The sequence below is a fragment of the Homo sapiens genome, chromosome 19, assembly GCF_000001405.40.
Source record: "Homo sapiens chromosome 19, GRCh38.p14 Primary Assembly".
In the NCBI taxonomy this organism is placed as follows: domain Eukaryota; kingdom Metazoa; phylum Chordata; class Mammalia; order Primates; family Hominidae; genus Homo; species Homo sapiens.
The window spans coordinates 51,842,390-51,861,463 of NC_000019.10; the positions used below are offsets into that span (position 1 = coordinate 51,842,390).

Sequence of the window (19,074 nt, forward strand, 5' to 3'; positions counted from 1 at the left end):
GATAAAAAGGCCTTGTGGGAGTGGGTTTGCTACTTTTTGCTCTCCTGCCATATGAGAACCCAACATTCATCCTTACTTGCCGTTCTATTATCTGCCATGTGAGGATGCTGCAAAAAGGCCCTCAGCAGATACCAGATACTGGTACCCTGATCTTGGACTTCCCAGCCTGCAGAACTGTGAGAAATAAATTTCAATTATTTATAAATTACCCTGTCTCAAGTATTTTGTTATAGCAGCACAAGTGGACTATGACAGATAGTAAGAGGAGGAGAAATTGTTCATATTGAAGACCTCTTTTCACTTATACTCTAAGTCACCCTTAAAGGTTCACAGACCATGAGAAAATGTATTAAAATAACAAGGGTGCCAACCCATCAATGGCCAACTAGTACTTTGGTTCCACTAACTCCCATCGCATTGGTTTCACTCACCTGGACTGCACCAACTTGGGAATTCTCTCTCTACTATTCCTTGTTCTTCTTTCCCCAACTGGAATATTGCTTCTGGCTTGGTAGCTTGACAACCTGTCAAGAGGTAATCACAGAGAATCTGAGCAGCATTAGAGCTTGTGAGAAAAAGTTCTGTTTCAGGAAATGCACAGTATACATCTCAGCAGAACAGAAACCTTTCATTTGGAAAGTGAAATTACATATGGTCACTGTACGATTATAAAGTAAAAAAAGTTCTAAAAGTCAAAGTCCAAAATCATTGAGGATATCAGAGTACCCACAAATTGTGGCAATAGAAAAAAAGGCAATTAATCGGCTTACAGTGAGATATTTAGGAAAGTTGTCTTTACCCAGTGACACTAGGTTGTTGTAATTTTCCAACATCACATCCTGGTAGAGGTTCTTCTGAACAGGGTCTAATAGATTCCACTCCTCCCAGGTGAAGTCAACAGCCACATCATTGAATGATGATAAACCCTATAATAACATAATCCTTTTAAATTCTGGAGTTAATATAATAAAATTCAGTCTATAAGACTCGTAGGACATTATTCTCTTTATCTTTACCACAAAGATTCACAAACGAAGATTTTCCTGTGCCTAGTTTTGGTTTGCACTTTGTGAGTGGAATACATTAAAAACTATCTTTTCTTTGTGCATTCTTCATTCACTTGTTTACTCTTTCATTCATTTGCCCGATGTAAAGTGTCTTTTAAACCTTTAAACTACCTAAAAACCATCTGTAACCCACCTTAGGAGCATTTAATGTAATTCATTATACATATTACAATAAAAACAATAAAGGTTAGTCCTTCCTTCAAGTGTTTCTGATCTTGCACAGAGTAGCAAATACAGTCCTATGCAGAAAGCCTATGTATTGCATGGTATTATGGATTAGCAAGGACTAAGACAGAAGTATGCTCAAGCTAATATGTGAGCACAATTAGGTAAGGCCATAATTGTTCTGAAGAGGTAGACAAGCTGGTAGCATGATTAGTAGTGCGTTCTAAAGGAAGAAGTGGAAGAAATGGGGGCTTCCTTGGAAGGGGGCAACATATGTATCTGTATTAAATACCATTCTGCGTTCAAAGAAATGCAAATAGTTCATTAAGACAGGAGAAGCTGAAGAGAAGAAATGCCCATTTGAAAAGCAGGAACATGTCTTGGAGCAAAGGGTACACATTTCCTTAAGATACTCGATAGCCACTACACTTTTTTTTTTTTTTTTTTTTTTACATAAGTAAGTTACGGTCAGAATTGCATTTTGGAAATTGTGCTACAAATTAAATGATGATACTCATAAAGAAAAACAGACTTCTTACTATGTGCTATGTATCATTCTACAAATTTTACATATATTAACATAATAATCTGCACAATAACCCTTGTTTAAGCACTATTATGTTCTTTTTATAAAGAAGAGATTTTAAGTTTCCTAGCTGTGCCTTTTATATCTCCCACATTTCCTTAAAGATTACTGTTCACTGGGTCCATATGCTGGCACACAAAAACTGAAGAGGAAGAGGAAGATCCATCAGAGACATTTCTTCACACTGGATGCCCAGGAAATATTTACTGATATCAACGATTTTATGTGCTTTCTCCTTCTGGACAAAGTAAATCTTGTAACTTTTAAAAATTCTCTTGTGATGGTTGTCAGTACTGCCACAAAAATGTTTGCAACTTAATTCTAGATCCTGCTACTTATATGGCAATTGTCTAATTATTAGCACCTTTCAGGACCCTACGACATGGAGATAGATCTCCCTTCCTAACTGGCTACTCTTGATCATTTATTCTGTCTCCTAGTCTAACCACATCCCTGCCAGCCAGAGTGTACTTATATTCATTTTTCTCTTTGATTACATATATGGTTATAAACTTCTAAAAATCTACTGGGAAGTAAATAAACACCTCACTTGGAACTTTGTCATGTTCAAGAGCTTTCAGAAGATGGCCAGTACTTTTAGTATCTGTTTGTCCTGCAATTCTGATAATGTCTCATCAAGGGTATCCTCAACAAAGATGAATTTCTGGACATGAGATATACTTTTTTCCTTTACAGGAGCTGCCTCATTCTAAGAAGTCAGCATCTATGAATTCAAACAAAAATGTGTTTTAAAGTAGAAATAATAAAGAGCAAGTCCGCGTAAATAAAAAGACTTTTCTTTTTAAAATTAATTCATTTCCTATACCTAACAAATAAAATTGTATGTATTTATCAGTACAATACGTTGTTTTGAAATAAGTATATACTGTGGAATGGCTAAATCAAACTAATTAACATATGTATTACTTCACATACTTGCCATATTTTTGTGGTGTGAACACTTGAAATCTATTCTCTTAAGCAATTTTCAAGAGTACAATACTTGGCCGGGCACGGTGGCTCACACCTGTAATCCCAGCACTTTGGGAGGCAGAGGCAGGCGGATCACCTGAGGTCGGAGTTTGAGACCAGCCTGATCAACATGGAGAAACCCGGTCACTACTAAAAATACCAAATTATCCGTGGTGGTGTATGCCTGTAATCCCAGCTACCCGGGAGGCTGAGGCAGGAGAATCGCTTGAACCCGGGAGGTGGAGGTTATGGTCAGCGAAGATTGCACCATTGCACTCCAACCTGGGCAACAAGAGCAAAACTCTGCCTCAAAAAAAAAAAGAAAAGAAATAATACAATACCTTGTTATTTACTACAGTCACCATGTTGTACAATAGATCTCTTAAACATAAAAGTTCATGTCTTATCTAACTGAAATTTTTTATTCTTTCACCAACATTTCCACAACCCTCTCCCTCCCCCAGCCTTGGTAACCACCATTCTACTCTCCATTTCTATGAATTCAATAATTTTAGATTTCACACATAAGTGAGATCATGCAATATTTGTCTTTCTCTGTGAGGCTTATTTCACTTAACATAATGTATTCCAAGTTCATCTATGTTGTCACCAAGTGACAGGATTTCCTTCTTTTTTGTGGCTCAAGAGTATTCCATTGTGTATATATGCCACGTTTTCTTCATTCATTGTTGTTGGACACCTAGGTTGATTACCTCTCTTGGCTATTGTGAATAACACTGCAATGAACATGGGAGTGCAGCTATATCTGCAAAGTGCTGATTTCATTTCCTTTCGATATGTGCCCAGTAGTAGGATTGCTGCATTATATGGTGGTTCTATTTTTTTTTTTTTGAGACAGAGTCTTGCTCTGTTGTCCAGGCTGGAGTGCAGTGGCACTGTCATGGCTGACTGCAGCCCCAACCTCCCAAGCTCAAGCAATCCTCCCACCTCAGCCTCCTGAGTAGTTGGGACTACATGTGTGTCCAGCTAATTAGTCCACCATGCCCAGCTAATTTTTTATTTCTAAAAACAAATAAATTTTTATTTGAGACCAGCCTGTATAACACAGTGAGTTCTTGTCTCTATAAGAAATAAAAGGTATACATTTGCATAATAATAGCTACCTTTTGTCAAGTATCTATTAATACGTATTTGCAGATGAGTCACTGGAAGGTAACTAGGGTTAGATGAGGTCATGAGGGTGGGCCTTCAATATGGAATTAGTGACCTTAAAAGAAGAGATATTGGCTGGGTGCCATGGCTAATACCTGTAATGCCAACTCTTTGGGAGGCCGAGGCCGGTGGATCACTTGAGGCCAGGAGTTTGAGACCAGCCTGGCCAATATAGCAAAACCGTGTCTCTACTAAAAATACAGAAAATTAGCCAGGTGTGGTGCAAACGCCTGTAATCACTGCTACTTGGGAGGCTAAGGAATGAGAATCACTTGAACCCGGGAGGCAGAGGTTGCAGTGAGCCGAGATCGCGCCACTGCACTCCAGCCTGGGCCACAGAGCGAGACTCCATCTCAAAAAAAAAACAAGAAGAGAATTTGCATTCTCCCCCTACTGCCATATGAAAACAGATGGCCATCTGCAAACCAGAAAAAGATCTCTCACCAAAACTCATCCCACACTGGCACTGTGATCACGGACTTCCAGCTTCCAGAACTATAAGAAAACAAGTTTCTCTTGTTTAAGCCACTCAGTCTATGGTATTTTGTTATGGCAGCCCAAGCTGACTAATACATTACATGCCAGCACTTTGTCAGGGACTTCAAATGCACTACCTCACTCAATCCTCAAAACCCATCTGCAAGGTAGATATTTTCAATTTGTCATAATGGAAAAACTGAGACTTACAGAAGTTGGGTATCTTGCCCAAAGTCACACAAAATAGGGTAGAATTGACATAAAAAGCTAGTACTAATTTCAAGTGTATACAAACACTCGTGTACGCACACACATGCACACACATAGCATTTATGACACGATTTTGACAACTCATGAATTTTGGTTGTACAGGTTATCATATTGCTATTCTTTCGAGTTTTCTATATACTTGAAATTCTTCGACATAAGATATTGGGAAATATAATACCTCAATGTAAAATACAGCACCCAAATGTCTGTACAGCTGAGGCCTCCTTATGTTCCAGCCCCACCAGCCTCTCCCGTCGATGTCCGTGTTGCTCTCCACCCAAGCATCTTGCTGTTGCCTCACTCACACCTCCCCAGACACCTACTTTCAAGTGGAGCATAAAACGGACCCTCCAAATACTCAAACTTGGACCCCTGAAACCTCAGATCACTAACCGCCAATCCCTGTCCTCGCCGACCACATCCTGACGGCCCCCTCCATCGGTGGCTCTCCCAGGCCTCTCTCTCTGTGGCAGGGAGCACGATGAGGAGAGGATATTTCACGAGAAACGAGAGAATGGTCTCTAGTTTCTTCCTCAATCCACAGCTCTAAACACTGATGCCGGCCCTAAAAGCCCTCAACAACCCCGAAGCGGCCTTAAACGGCAACCCCAGATGGTACTCATCAGAAACCAATCCCAAGTCACGGAATTCCCACAGCGCTGCGGGATTCCTAAGGGCTTTAGGCAGAGTCAAATGTAATCTCACACAGGAGTCCCGTGAATTTACTCCCTGGAAGGCAAAGCTTCCATACGTCATTTCCTCTTCTGCTCACTGGGCTGGATGGCCAGGCTTTCCAGCTATTATACAAACTCAGTAGCACTTTGGAAGGCCAGGATCCATCTACAGACGCGGATCCCGGTCCCACCAGGAATGATCGCTCAGCAATATGGTCGCGCCCAAGCCCTGACATGCTGTTGGAAGCCACCATCTTGGAAGACGCAGTACAGACTGCGAGACAGCCATTCTAGGCGACCGGATTCCGCTGACCAGGCCGAAAAGGAGTAAATCTAACTGATCCTTTCTAATCTTCTAAAGACCTCTCATCCTGTACTTCCACCTTCTTTCCTGTCAGCGTAGGGCATGCTTAGTAGGATTTCGGCACTTTCAACTAGTCTTCCGACCTGACCAATCAGAACACACCGAAACAGAAAATGGCTGCGCCCACGCTGCCTCGTTCTTCTAAACCACACGAAAGGTGAGGCCGTATTGAAAAGCCTGGGTCCCTAGGGGAAAGAAGGGAGGGAGAATTAGGAAGCTTGTACAGCTAAGACGCGGAAGACGCTGGGAATATACCCAAAGGAAATGAAATCACTATGTGGAAGAGGTATCTGTACTCCCACATTTACTGAAGCATTATTCACAATACCCAAGATATGGAATCTTTCTCCATACGACTGAGAAAGATGGAGATTAGGAGACCTAGAACTGGATCTGGACGAACAGAGGTGGTATGGGAAGAGCTCTCTGGATGTGTGGTTTGTGGGGAGAGATGGTGAGGGCTTAAGAACTAATGTAAAGATGCCTGTGGAGCAGACACGGGCAACCACAATCCAGGCCACAAGAAAAGCATTTGTAGCTCACAGGGATCCTGTGTATCTTGAAGAGCACAACCCACCCAGACATTTGTCAATACTGTGATGCAGGAGTCAACTTCCTTTTTTCCCTGGCTAGATAATTATCCCAACAACATTATTTAAAGTTGATCTCTTCCCCAATTTGCTAATATTTTGTAAGGAGTTGTACATCTAAGTTCATGGGATATTTGGTCTGTAATTATCTTTTATTTTAATAATGCCTCTGTCTAGTTTTGGTGTCAAGATTATATTGCCTTTAGATAATGAGCTGGAAAAAAATCATCTTTTTGATGTATGTAGTTCTAAACCATTTTTTTGTTTTAATATTCCATTGTATGAATCTGTTTTCTGCACTGACACATTCAACACAATTGCCAAGCTGTTACCCCCTTTTAAAATATGTGCACATTTTCTGTCTCTTTTATTATATAAAAACTTGAACTATTTCCACAGTTTGGGGAAGGAAACTATACACAGGTCTTTCTGTGTCATTACCTACTCTTCTCCAATGGAGAAAGGGTAAGTTTAACAAAATAGGTTGCGCATACAAAACAGGTTGTGCATGGATGGTTTATAACACTTCCTTTTTCTATGTTCTTTGTGTTTGGGTTAACCTGTCTGCAGGATGAAGATTTGCTCTTCAGAATACATTTGCTATGTTCTGAATGTGTCCCCTAAAATTCATGTGTTGAGACCTTAATTCCCAGTGCAATGGTGTTGGGAAGTGAGGCTTAATGGAAGGCGTTTCGTTCATGAGAATTCTACTTTCATACCACTTGTAAAAGGACTTACAGGAGTAGGTTCACCCCCTTCTGCCTTTTGCCATGTGAGGACACAGCAAGAAATCTTCACCAGATGTCAGCACCTTGATCTTAGACTCCCTGCCCACTACAGAACTGTGAGCAACTACATTTCTGTTCTTCATAAATTATCCAGTCTCAAGCATTTTGTTATAGCAGTACAAATAAAGACAACGCTGTTAAGGAAACGATACTGGAACCCTCATACACTGTTAGTAACATTCAAAAATGGTACCACTTCTTCGAAAAAGTTTGGCCACTTTTTATGTTAAACAAGCAATCTAACTATTAAGCATTTACCCAAAAGAAATGAGAAGTTATTCAAAATAGTGAAAAACCCAGATGCCTATCAACTGGTGCAGATAAACCTATTCCAGTTTACTTATACAATGGAATACTATTCGTCAACAAAAGAACAAACTACTGACATATACAGCAACATGAATGAAGTTCCATTTTATTATGCTAAGTGTAAAAAGGTAGACTCAAAATGTTATGTGCTGTATCATTCTTTTAATAACACTATGGAAAAGACAAAATTAGACAGAGAACTGATTTGTTCTCTGTTCTGGGGATGGGGAGAGAAGGGTTGACTAAAATGGACAGAAGGAGGGATTTTTGGGCGGTGGTGGAACTTATGAAGTAAAGCACTAATCTTCTCCAAAGAGAGGTTTGGCCCTTGCTCTCAACTCCTGGGAGATGACCTCTAAGCCTCTGAAATTTCCTGCTTGGGAAGAGTATCTTTGTTTACCTGGTTGCCTTGGGCCATGCCAGATATGCTAACAATATGTTTTATGATGGGGGCCCTTAGGCCATGCGGTATGAACTCCACCTGTGCAGACTATGGTCACCCATGTGGATAGTCAATCACGTCTATGTGATTGAACCCAAGTAAAATATCTGGACACCAAGGTTTGGGCAAACTTCCCTTATTGGCATTATTCTGCATATTGTCGCAAATTGTTTCTGAAAGAAATAGGTGCTGCCTGCATGATTTCTCTGAAAGAAGACAACTGGGAGCTCTGTGCTTGGTGTCCACTGGACCCTACCCTATGCAGTTCATCCCTCTACTGACTTTGTTCTGTAGCCTCCTGCTGTAATATACTGTACCTGTGGGTATAATGCCTTTTCTGAGTCTTGTGAGTAAATTATTAAACCTGAGGGTAGTGTTTAAACTTTGAAGTTGGTGTCAGAAATGAGAGTAATCATGGGTATCCCCAAATTTACAGTTGGTATTATTATAAAAAGTGATATTGGGGAACACTGAACTTGCAGCTGGTGTCAGAAGTGAAGATGGTCTTGGGGACTCCCAAATTACAAAACTGTTTTGCACCATAATCATGGTGGTAACATGATTCTATTTGTCAAAAGTCATAGAACTGTAGACCAAATCAGTGAGCATTACCATATGTAAACTAGTAAACAAATAAAAAATTTAAAGATACAAAACATTGTGTATAGTACGGTGTAGTTAGTAAGTTGAAGGTGATTTTTACTTTTGTTTAGGATAAGCATATAATTTTGTGATAAAAATAAGAGATCACCATTTAAAATTATGGAAAGTTCTCAAATCTATACTCAAATTCATATAAGATTTAGGATATACATTTAGAAGAAAGTTAAATCAGAAATGGCATAATTACAATCTTTATAAGGTATCAGAAATGAGGATAAATATTTGAAAAATAGCTACCATTGGTCAAATACCAATTATAAGCCAGTCATTTTGCCAGGCATTTCAGATACCCCATCTTATTACTTCTTCAAAACAAACTTGACAAGTAGATATCATTTTTCTTTTCCTAATGGAAAAGCTGAAACTTGTAAGAGTCTGTGTACCTTGCCAAAGTTCACACAGCCAATGAGTAGCAGAAATAGATTAAAAATTAATCTTACTTTCAAATAGCTCAGTAGGAAAAAAAGTACAGATACACACATACAAATATACATTAAGTATTTATAAAACAGTGTAAATAATTGTTGAATATGTAAGTGGTGGGTTACTATTCTTTCAACTTTCCCATACGTTGAAAATTCATATTGCACCCAAACTTCTCTCCTGAGTCCTAACTACTAAGCTCATCAGCCATCTCCTAGCACTGACACCCATAATGCCCCCATATCCCCACACCTCACATTTGCTCCTGTTCACAACTCCCCAGACACCTTATTTCACACAGACCCTAACACAGACTCTTCAACTCCTCAAACCCAAAATACAGACAGAAGCCCCAGATGACCAAGCCAGCAGCCTATGCTCTCAAAGACCATTCCCTGAAAGCTAGTGGGTCTCCCAATGCCAAGATCTGGAGCCGCCCTGTCACTGCCCCAGGAAACAACCCTTACGTCTGTCATTCCTTTTCCACCCACAAGGTATTCTTGTAAACACAATGATGTCTTTAGGACATTCGCCCCAGACACTTTAGAAGCTGCCTTTAACCAACCCCAATGAATACCCTCACGCATCACCTGCCACATCCCCAAGTCACGAATCCCTACAGTGGCGCATTCCAGCAGTTCACAGAAACTGAAACTTTGCCTTAACTTCTACAGTGACCTGCTGCCATGAAAGTATAAGGCTTCCTACACTGCACATCCGCTTCCACCCACTGGCCTGGCTGTCCTGCCTCTAGGGCTATTGCGCAGACTCAGTAGAAACTGGAACGACCAGGAGTCCCAGATTCTGATGTCTAAAGCCTTTAGCTTCCTGCTCTTTGGAAAGCTCATTTCAATCAAGTCTGCAGGAGGTAGCCATCTTGAAAGAAGTGCCACCAGACAGCGTGCTGGCCATTCTTTTGGGCTAATGGGCTGCCTCTGAGAGGAAAGAAACAATTGCAACCCACCTTTTCTGTCCTTTTCCAAGACACGTCAGCACGAGCATTTACACCTGTCCAAAAGTTGCAAGGAGTGTGGCTCATGCTCAATAGCATTTCCGTGATCCCACCTATCTGTCATGAACCTCCAGACAGCGAAAACCAATCACCAGGTCAAACCTAAACTGAAGATGTCTTTTTGCCCTGTTGAAATCTTGTCCATTTTGGAGGAATTTTGAGGTTTATAGAGCAAAGAATACATTCCCTCACCGAGGAAGAAGGGAACAGACAGGGCAGATTCTAGGTCTACCTCTAACAGAGGTAAGCTAGAGAAGTGAAACTGGCTGAGGGAAAGTGCTCCTGGCTTTCTCTGTGTAGAGATCTTGCCCATAGAAGGTGATAGGTGGGATGTTTATGAGGAATGGATAAATAGGACTTCTGGAATGCTCCATTGCTTGATCTGAGTGGTATTACACAGTTGTCCACATATAGGTGTTCCCATCACATGTTAAAATGTCATGTGTGTGTAATTGTGTTTAATATACTTTTGTAATGATATGAATGTTTTAATAATTGTATATGCCCTGTCTTTACATGGCTAGCTGTCAGGTAGGGTGAATGGCTCTTTAAAAGACAGTTTTCTTTTCTTTTTTTTTTTCTTTGAGACAGGGTTTCACTCCCATTGCCCAGGCTGGAGTGCAGTGGCACAATCTTGGCTCACTGCAACCTCCGCCTCTGCCTTCGGGCTCAAGCAATTCTCCCGCCTCAGCCTCCAGAGTAGCAGGGATGACAGGCACAGGCCGCCCCACCCAGCTAATTTTTGTATTTTCTGTAAAGACAAGGTTTCACCATGTTGCCCAGACTGGTCTCGAACTCCTGAGCTCAAATGATCTGCCTGTTTTGGCTTCCCAAAGTGCTGGGATTACAGGCATGAGCCAGGTGATGGGCCCTGACCCCAAAGACAGTTTTCTTACTTCCTACTCCTTACTCCCTTTCTCTAACTCAACACCACTGGGTCTTCAGTGGTCAGCTCAGCAATTACAGATACTTCTTAGAACCCACTATCTCAAACTTCCCAATAGGGACAACAAGTTTTGGCCAGCCTCAAGTAAAAAGTGAGCCAGGAGCCAGTAATCTCATGCAAAAAGGGCACTACCCTAAGATTTAACATTTTTTCTCTTTCTCTTTTACCTGCTGGATCTTGGGTGAACTGCGTTGTATTGGTCTTTTTACAGATGCATTAGAGGATTTTGGTCAATTGGACCAATCTAGAGGATAACGGCTGTTCAGCTTCAAGAACAGGTAACTGTACGGGAGTCTATGTAGTAGAGCCTGGTTCTGAACCTGGCCATATGATCTTTAAAGATAATGAAGGCTCTGTTGCTACCTTCTATAGTATCCCCAGATTTGTGAGCTTCTTGGCTTCCTTGAAACTTTCATTGAAAATAAGTTTCTCTTTTTCAGCTTGCTAGTCTTCAGTGTGTAAGCCCCCTTCTTTCTTAAATACCACACCCCTAAAGGATTGACATCGTGAAGGTGTTGTGCTTTGTAGGACAATACATTATTATAAGCTCCAAGTTGAGGTATTTGGGAGTGAAGGGTTATGATGTCTGCTATTTACCTTCAAATAGTTCAGTCGAAAGAAGCAAACTGGATAGAAGAGCGAGATAGATTATAGGTAGAAGATAAAGCAAATATGGCAAAAATTAACATTTATTGAATCTATGTGATGTATGTAAGGGTCTCTGCTATACTATTCTTTAAGTTTTTCTATATGTCTGAAAATTTTTATAATAAAAACCTTGAGAAAAACTACCAGTGACTGATTCTGGATTGTATGTAATTGATTCTTTGGTTGCTTGTTTTCTGTGTAGCAGAAAATCCACGAATAAAGTAGAGGTTCTGTCTATCATATATCATTGGCATAAATATCCTCAGTGCTCATCTGATAATAACCATTCTGCACCCATCTGGGAAGGACCAGGTTTCTGTTTAGTTTACCAGGATGAAAGCCTGTGGAGAAGGTAATGAATTGATGCTATTTGGATTTTTTTTTTTTGAGACAGGATCTCACTCTTGTCACTGCAGATGGGGTGCAGTGCCACGATCATGGCTCACTGCAGCCTTGACCTCCTGAGCTCAGGCAATCCTCCTGCCTCTGCCTCCTGAGTAGCTGGGACTACAGGAATGCACCACCATGCCCAGCTAAATTTTTTTTTTTTTTTTTTTTAGAGATGGGGTCTCGCTATGTTGCCCATGCTTCTCCTGAACTCCTGGACTCAAGCAATCCTCCAATCTCAGCTTCCCAAAGTACTGGGTTTACAAGTGAGAGCCACTGTGCCCAGCCTATTTGGAATTTATTGACCTTCTCAGATGGACGGAATAATTTTCATCAAATTTGGGAAGCTTTGGCCATTATTTCTTCAAATATTCTATCTGTTGCTTATCCCCTCTATTTACTTTCTGAGACTTTCATTACATATGTGTTGGTGTGCTGGAAAGTATACCATATGTTTCTAAGAGTCTGTTCACTTTATGTTTTTCACTTTTTTTCTGTTTCACTTCTTCATGTTCCTCAGACTGGATAATTTCCATTGACCTAGCTTCATATTTGCTTATTCTGTCTTCTGCCACCTCAAATCTGCTGCTGAGACCTGTTCTCTTTGTTGCTACTTCATAGTTCTTTATACATGGTTTACTTCAGTTCCTTGAACATAGTTAACATAGCTGACTTTTAATCTTTGCATATTAAGTCTGACATATGAGCCTCCTCAGGGGTAGTTTCAGTTGACAACCTCATTTCCTGAATATGGACTATACTTTTCTGATTGTGTGTCACAAATTTTTGTTGAATATAGAAATTTTAGATCATATAAAGTTGTTACTTTGGAAATCAGATTCCCTCTCTCCCCAGGGTTTATTGTTGCGATTGTTGTTGCAGTTTGTTCAGTGGCATTCCTGGAGTAATTTATGTATTCCCTGCAGTGTGCAGTCACTTGAAGTCTTTTCTTAGTTAGCTAATGATTAATCAAGATTTCCTTCATTTCTCTGAGCAAGTTTTCCACTCTTTGCTGAGGGTGCTGTGTGTGTGTGTGTGTGTGTGTGTGTGTGTGTGTGTGTGTCTACTTCAATGCTCAAGCAGTTTGTAAGTCTACTTTAGCCTTCTCTTCCTTCTTCTCAAGGGCTTCAAGATCAGCTAGAAGTGAACTACTGGTACCCTCAGGTATCTCATGGGCATGCACACATCCCTGTGTATGTGTTGGGCCTTCTAGATCCTCAGGAATATGTCAGAGTATTTAAGAGTTCCCTATTAACATCTTGTTCTTCAGATGTCCGTTTAACAATTTTTCAGAGCTCTTGTTTGCTCCCTAACGGTACTGCAGGCTTAGGCTACTACAAAGTTAAACAATTGAAGCTGATCGTTTTTGACCAGTGCCCTAGTATCGCACTTTTCCTTCAAAGTGAGCTTTGAGTCAGGTGAGAGAATGAGTTAGGACAAAGAATGGAACCACATCATGGAGCTGTAAGACAAGATATATAATGACATTGCTCTGAGGATGAGGCTTTTTGAGGATTTCCAAGCTTATTTGTCTCCTCTGATACAAGGGTGGTGGTTGAAGGCTGATGGTCTTCATGGCTACTGTGGTTCTGAGGCTGCTGTTTTCCAACGGTAATGCAGATCTGGGGAAAGGGATATAGAAGTAGGCCAAATTAAAATTCCACATACCCCACTATTTTTAATGAGGTTCAAAATTTTTTTCTTGAAAAGAAAATGCTGTTCAAAATATTGTAAGCCTTTGGTTATTTTCCAAAATTGACTGTGATGATGTTTATGTTGTTTTAATGAAAGGATGGATACGCAGAGGCCTTGTCTCTGCTATTCTGGACATCATGCCTTATCACATAATTTATTTTTTGCACAGTAATCTCTGGGATAAAAATTTATTAACTTTACAAGTAAATACCCTAAGTCTTCTAATGATTAAATGGTTTACCATGGGTTATACAGTTGATACACAAAGCCATTACTGTTTATCAATATATAATACTGCACCAATTTAATAATTGTGCTAATGAACTGTTAAAAATTCGAATATGTCCCCAGATTATTTCTACCCAACCTCACCTCCATGCTTCCATCAAGTATCTCAAAGAAAAAATACAGAGAACATCAGGATAATGCTAACAGACAGTTTTGTGTTTATTTGGTTGTATGCCTGCCTTCTGAGTAAAGAGTAAAGCCTCTACATCGCTAAGTCAATGTCATACAAATCCTTTAATTATCCGTATTTTGGGTGTATGTCTGTCATATTCTAGACATCCACATACCCTTGCTTTCTTAAGTGAATAACCAGATTCTCTGAAGAAGAGACACTGTTGTGAACAGGACCATCAGTAATTTTGGATTTTTTTTCACCATTTAAGACGAGAAACTTGGTGCTCGGGGACCTTGAACATCAAGATCGGGGGGCTGAGGGAGGGATAATATACTGCATGAAAGGTGGTAGTATATTGCAGCCAGAGGCTTGATTGGAAAAGAACAGCATTATGAATGAGCAGGATAGAACTGATAAAGTAAAACGAAATGAAAGTACTTCCTAGAAGCAGCATGATTTGAATGGCTTTTGCCTCAGGGGAGAATCTGTAGGAGCTGCTGAGGGTGTGAATGCGCCTCACTCTACCATGTAGACACCAGCTCCAACCATGAGTCCATGAAGACAACATCTGGGAAAGTCAAGAGAAATGTGTATTTTGTGTAATCTCAGCACTTTGGGAGGCCGAGGCAGGCGGAACATGAGGTCAAGAGATCGAGACTATCCTGGCCAACATGGTGAAACCCCATCTCTACTAAAAATACAAAAATTATCTGGGTGTGATGGCGCACGCCTGTAGTCCCAGCTGTTCAGGAGGCTGAGGCAGGAGAATCGCTTGAACCCGGGAGGCGGAGGCTGCAGTGAACCGATATCGTGCCACCGCATTTCAGCCTGGCGACAAAGCGAGACTCCATCAAAAAAGAAAAGAAAGGAAGGAAAAGAAAAGGAGAAAGGAGAGAAAGAAAGAGAGAAAGAAAGAAGGAAGGAAAGAAAGAAAGAAAGAAAGAAAGAAAGAAAGAAAGAAAGAAAGAAAGAAAGAAAGAAAGAAAAGAAAAAACAAAGAAAGGAAGGAGAAGAAATGTGTATTTTGCAGTAGATGTTTCAGGATTTTTAGAAGAGCATAGACCACAATTTCATATCTTGGTAGAATTGGGGATATGCCGAAGGGCCTCTACATGTTTAAGAACAAAGATTTTTATTGTAGGTTGAAGAACCAATACAGAAAGCAGGAGAAACCGATGTTCTTCAAAGCTCTGTCTTTGAACCTCATCCACCCACCAGCCTTCGGGTGGGTGATTGCCTGAGAACTGCTCAAGTGGCAAGTGACTGTAGCTTTCAGGCTGCTCACCAGAAATATACAGATACATATATATCTGTACACATACACACACACACACGCACACACACAAAACTCTAAGAACCTATTATCTCATGTGCTGCTTTCAAATCTAAGATTATTATTTTAAAATTTTTTGTAGAGATGGAGTCTCGTTACGTTGCCCAGGCTGGTCTCAAACTCCTGGGCTCAAGGGATCCTCCAAAGGATCCACCTGTAATCCCAAAGTGCTGGGATTACAGGTGCGGGCCATTGTGTCTGGCCTGCTTTTAGTCTTTGAGCTTTACAGGGCCCTGAAGGCCTATCTTTGAATTCCCTTACTCTCACCAGATATGCTCCCACTGCACAGGAAAGGCTCCCACCCAGCTAACTCCCCAATCAGCTGAACTAGCTGCACCCAACATGGTCCTCAATCTATATTCAGCCCATGGAATTATACAAAGCAATTGCATTCTTCCACAGAAACCATGGGCACGTTACCCTCTCATTATATAAAGCCTACTTCCCACAATCTCCGTGCTTGTTCACTCTATTCCTGAGTGCAATACCTATATGCAATGACCATTTCTCTCAGGCTGTATCTGTGACTAATAAACTGCTGTCAATTTCATCTAGCCAGTGTCAGGTGTTGTGTTCAGCCATTCCATACTACTTAGGGTAGGGAGTCCCTCCCTCATGCACCAGGGTGAATAGGAGGTTGTCAGAACATATGACACACACAAACACACACAGAAAAATGTTGCAATGGTCAAATCCAGATTAGTGTTTAGTACTCCTTAAACATCTTTATGTCTGAAGATTTTCATAATAAAATGGTGAAGAAAAGATTTCTTGACAACTGTCAAACAAAATGGGGAAGGGGCAAAAATCTAGAGAAAAAAATAAGCAAGATTTTGCTGGTACATTTTTACAGAATTCCTTGCAAAACAATAGGTTTCACTGATAACCAAAATAAGTCAGTTATTTCACATGGAGGTAAAAAAAAACCTTGCTTTTTAATAACTAGAATACCCACTAGAAGTTTTATAGAAGATTCAGTCAAGTAAGTCTCATTTTGTTAAAAAAAAGTCCATATTTGAAGTGCCAGAGTTCATGCAATATTTTTCTTTTTAAATATATTTTTCTTCATGTAAAAATTCAAATATTAACAATTTTAGAGTGTACAATTCAGTGAAGTTTAGCACATTCACAATATTATGCAACCACCATCTCTATCTAGTTCAAAAACATTTTCATCATTCTAAAAGAAAACCCCATACATACTACGCAGATAGATTGCATTCTCCCTTCCCCTCTAGTGCCCAATAACCACTAATTTGCTTTATTTCTCTATAGATTTACCTATTCAGAGTATTTGATATAAATGAAAGTATAAAATGTGGAATTTGCATTTGGCTTCTTTCACTCAGTATGTTTTTTGGGGCTCATTCATGCAACATGTCATCAGTACTTCATTCATTTGTATAACTGACCATTTATGTATTCATGTGTACATGCATGTAGCACATTTTATTTATTCATCCTTTGATAGGCATTTGAGTTTTTTCAACCAAATGCTATTTTGGCTATTGTGAACAGTGCTATAAACATTCATGGACAAATATTTGGTTGAGTACCTGTTTTCAATTCTCATGGGTATTTTACTTAGGAATGGAATTCCTGGGTCATATGGTAAGTCTGGATTTAACTTTTTGAGGAACCACCAAAGGAATGGCATATTATCATAACAAATCAAAAGTTTCGGTGTGACACAAACTTGAAATATATAGCCATAAACTCACCTCATATAACCTCACACTTTTTTCTTCCATTACTCTAATGTGTTGCTGGTTTTTAAATATTTTAGGTAAATCTTTTATAATCTTTGGATGTTTCAGAGTTATAAGGCTCTAGAAAAATGTAAACTTCTACTTGTGATGGATCATCACAGTGGGCAAAAATACTACAAATGACAGCAAAAATAAGGAATTCACACTTACGTGGTATAATCCTTTAGACTCCTTAATAATGAGTCAAATATGTATTACAAGACATTTTGATTCATAAGAAAAAAACATTTTATTTGCACTACATTGAATTATTCAACATTTTGTCTTATGTTGAGAATTTCTTTAACCCTGAAAATTGTTTCTTCGTGTAATTCCAAGTAAACAATGAAGTTTATAAATATATAAAGTACATGTCACATAGTACAGTCCACAACACAACCCCTAAGATCCTTTGTCACTATTCGACTAATCCTTATTATATTCTTATTTTTCATATATTCAAAAGGAATATTTGACAATGAAATGTCTAATATTTATAGAATATTCTCTGGAATCCTTTCTATAATAATTATGCAAAACCATTATAAAATTATATATACAGGCAAGGGTAATTACTCAAATCTAAAGTGCCATCACACATTTAAAAAGCCCTGACAATTACTATGACATTCCAGATCATAAGATGCTTCACAATTTAAGACATGGTAGGATGTGAAGAAGTGAATCCATGAAATAAAAAATAACTTATCACTGATGCTTTTACCACTTTCACTGCATTCATAAAATCTCTGTATGGAGCAAATTCTGCTCCTATATTTAAAAGCTTGTGATGTTTAATGCTATCTAATCCTCCACAGAAATTATTTCCTGTGACCAGAACCATTGCTTTTAGGTAAATGTATGACTCTGCTGAAGCAGAATAGATATGGCTCCATTAGGATTTTATACCTGCATTGAACCTAAATATTATTGCCTTCGAGAATAGGATCTTTCTGATAACTGAGTTAGGGGGCAATTCAGCTCTGAATTTTAAATAAAGAATTTTAGACAATCACTGCAATTCTTTCCTGCTATGCAATGGGTTTTGTGGCCAATGGCCAAGTTTAACTCTATCGTTTTCCCTTCTGATTTAAGTATCTGATGTATATGTCACTTTCAAAAGCTTTCCACATTCCGTTTCAGAAGGACCTATCTACCACATGAGTTTGCTGATATAATTAGTGACCTTTGGTATCTACATGAAGGCTTTACCACATTTACTATATTAATAGGGGTTTCCTCTTGTATGAGTTTGCTATAACAAGAAAGATAAACATTAACTGGGAAGACTTTATCACAATCACATTCACTGTATCTATGAGATTTCTCTCGTAAACAAGATATTCAAAGAGTTTTGACTTTCAGATTTTAATTTTTACCTGCAATGAGGTGTGATTCTTCTTAGCTTTCCTGCATTCCCTCCATCTGTAGGGTCCTTCTCCTGAATGAATACCCTAATGTGTAACAAATATAATTTGAGAATGATTTATCATTTTCATTACATCCACTGGTGCTGCCTACTAAATGGAAAGCTTCTAGTTTTCTAATAAACTTTTTTGACAATCACTGCACTCATAATTGACTCTCTCTTTTTTTTTTTTTTTTTTTTTTTGAGACAGAGTCTCACTCTGTCACCCAGGCTGGAGTACACTGGTGCAATCTCGGCTTACTGCAACCTCCACCTCCTAGGTTCAAGAGATTCTCCTGCCTCAGCCTCCTGAGTAGTTAGGATTACAGGTGTGCACACCACACCTGGCTATTTGTTTTTTTTTTTTTTTGTATTTTTAGTAGAGACAGGGTTTCATCATGTTGGCCAGGCTGGTCTCGAACTCCCAACCTCAAGTGATCTGCCTGCTTCAGCCTCCCAAAGTGCTGAGATAACAGGCATGGGCCAATGCGCCTGGCCAATGATTCTTCTTGTGAGATCTCTACGGTAAAC

General features: G+C 39.5%; 1 protein-coding gene and 1 pseudogene across 8 annotated transcripts in view, besides 1 other annotated feature; both read right to left on the reverse strand.

The window, feature by feature from the left end:
* The window catches only part of ZNF577 (zinc finger protein 577), an 83,510-nt gene that overhangs the window by 37,948 nt on the left and 26,488 nt on the right, over positions 1 to 19,074 (reverse strand). For 4 of the 8 annotated variants that reach the window (NR_163433.1, XR_007067021.1, XR_007067020.1 and 1 more), the window contains exons 6-8: positions 18,515 to 18,589; positions 800 to 926; positions 432 to 524 (exon numbers count right to left, since the gene is read on the reverse strand). Coding sequence is in view for 4 of the 8 variants with exons in the window: in NM_001370452.1 (NP_001357381.1) it covers positions 18,537 to 18,589 (53 nt within the window). In the remaining 4 variants the exon portion in view is untranslated. Of the gene's footprint in view, positions 1 to 431; positions 525 to 799; positions 927 to 11,592; positions 13,579 to 18,514; positions 18,590 to 19,074 lie in introns of those variants that run through there. The other 4 variants (NM_001370452.1, NM_001370455.1, NM_001370457.1 and 1 more) reach the window with 2 other exon arrangements.
* Positions 4,933 to 6,132: an enhancer, noted in NCBI's record as "BRD4-independent group 4 enhancer chr19:52350575-52351774 (GRCh37/hg19 assembly coordinates)". NCBI's record gives its function as "activates an origin of replication core promoter dependent on BRD2, P300/CBP, MED14 and CDK7 cofactors, and independent of BRD4, by STARR-seq in HCT116 cells {active_cell/tissue: HCT116}" and the evidence as "EXISTENCE:reporter gene assay evidence [ECO:0000049][PMID:35650434]".
* On the reverse strand, positions 14,311 to 14,622 carry VN1R98P (vomeronasal 1 receptor 98 pseudogene; annotated as a pseudogene).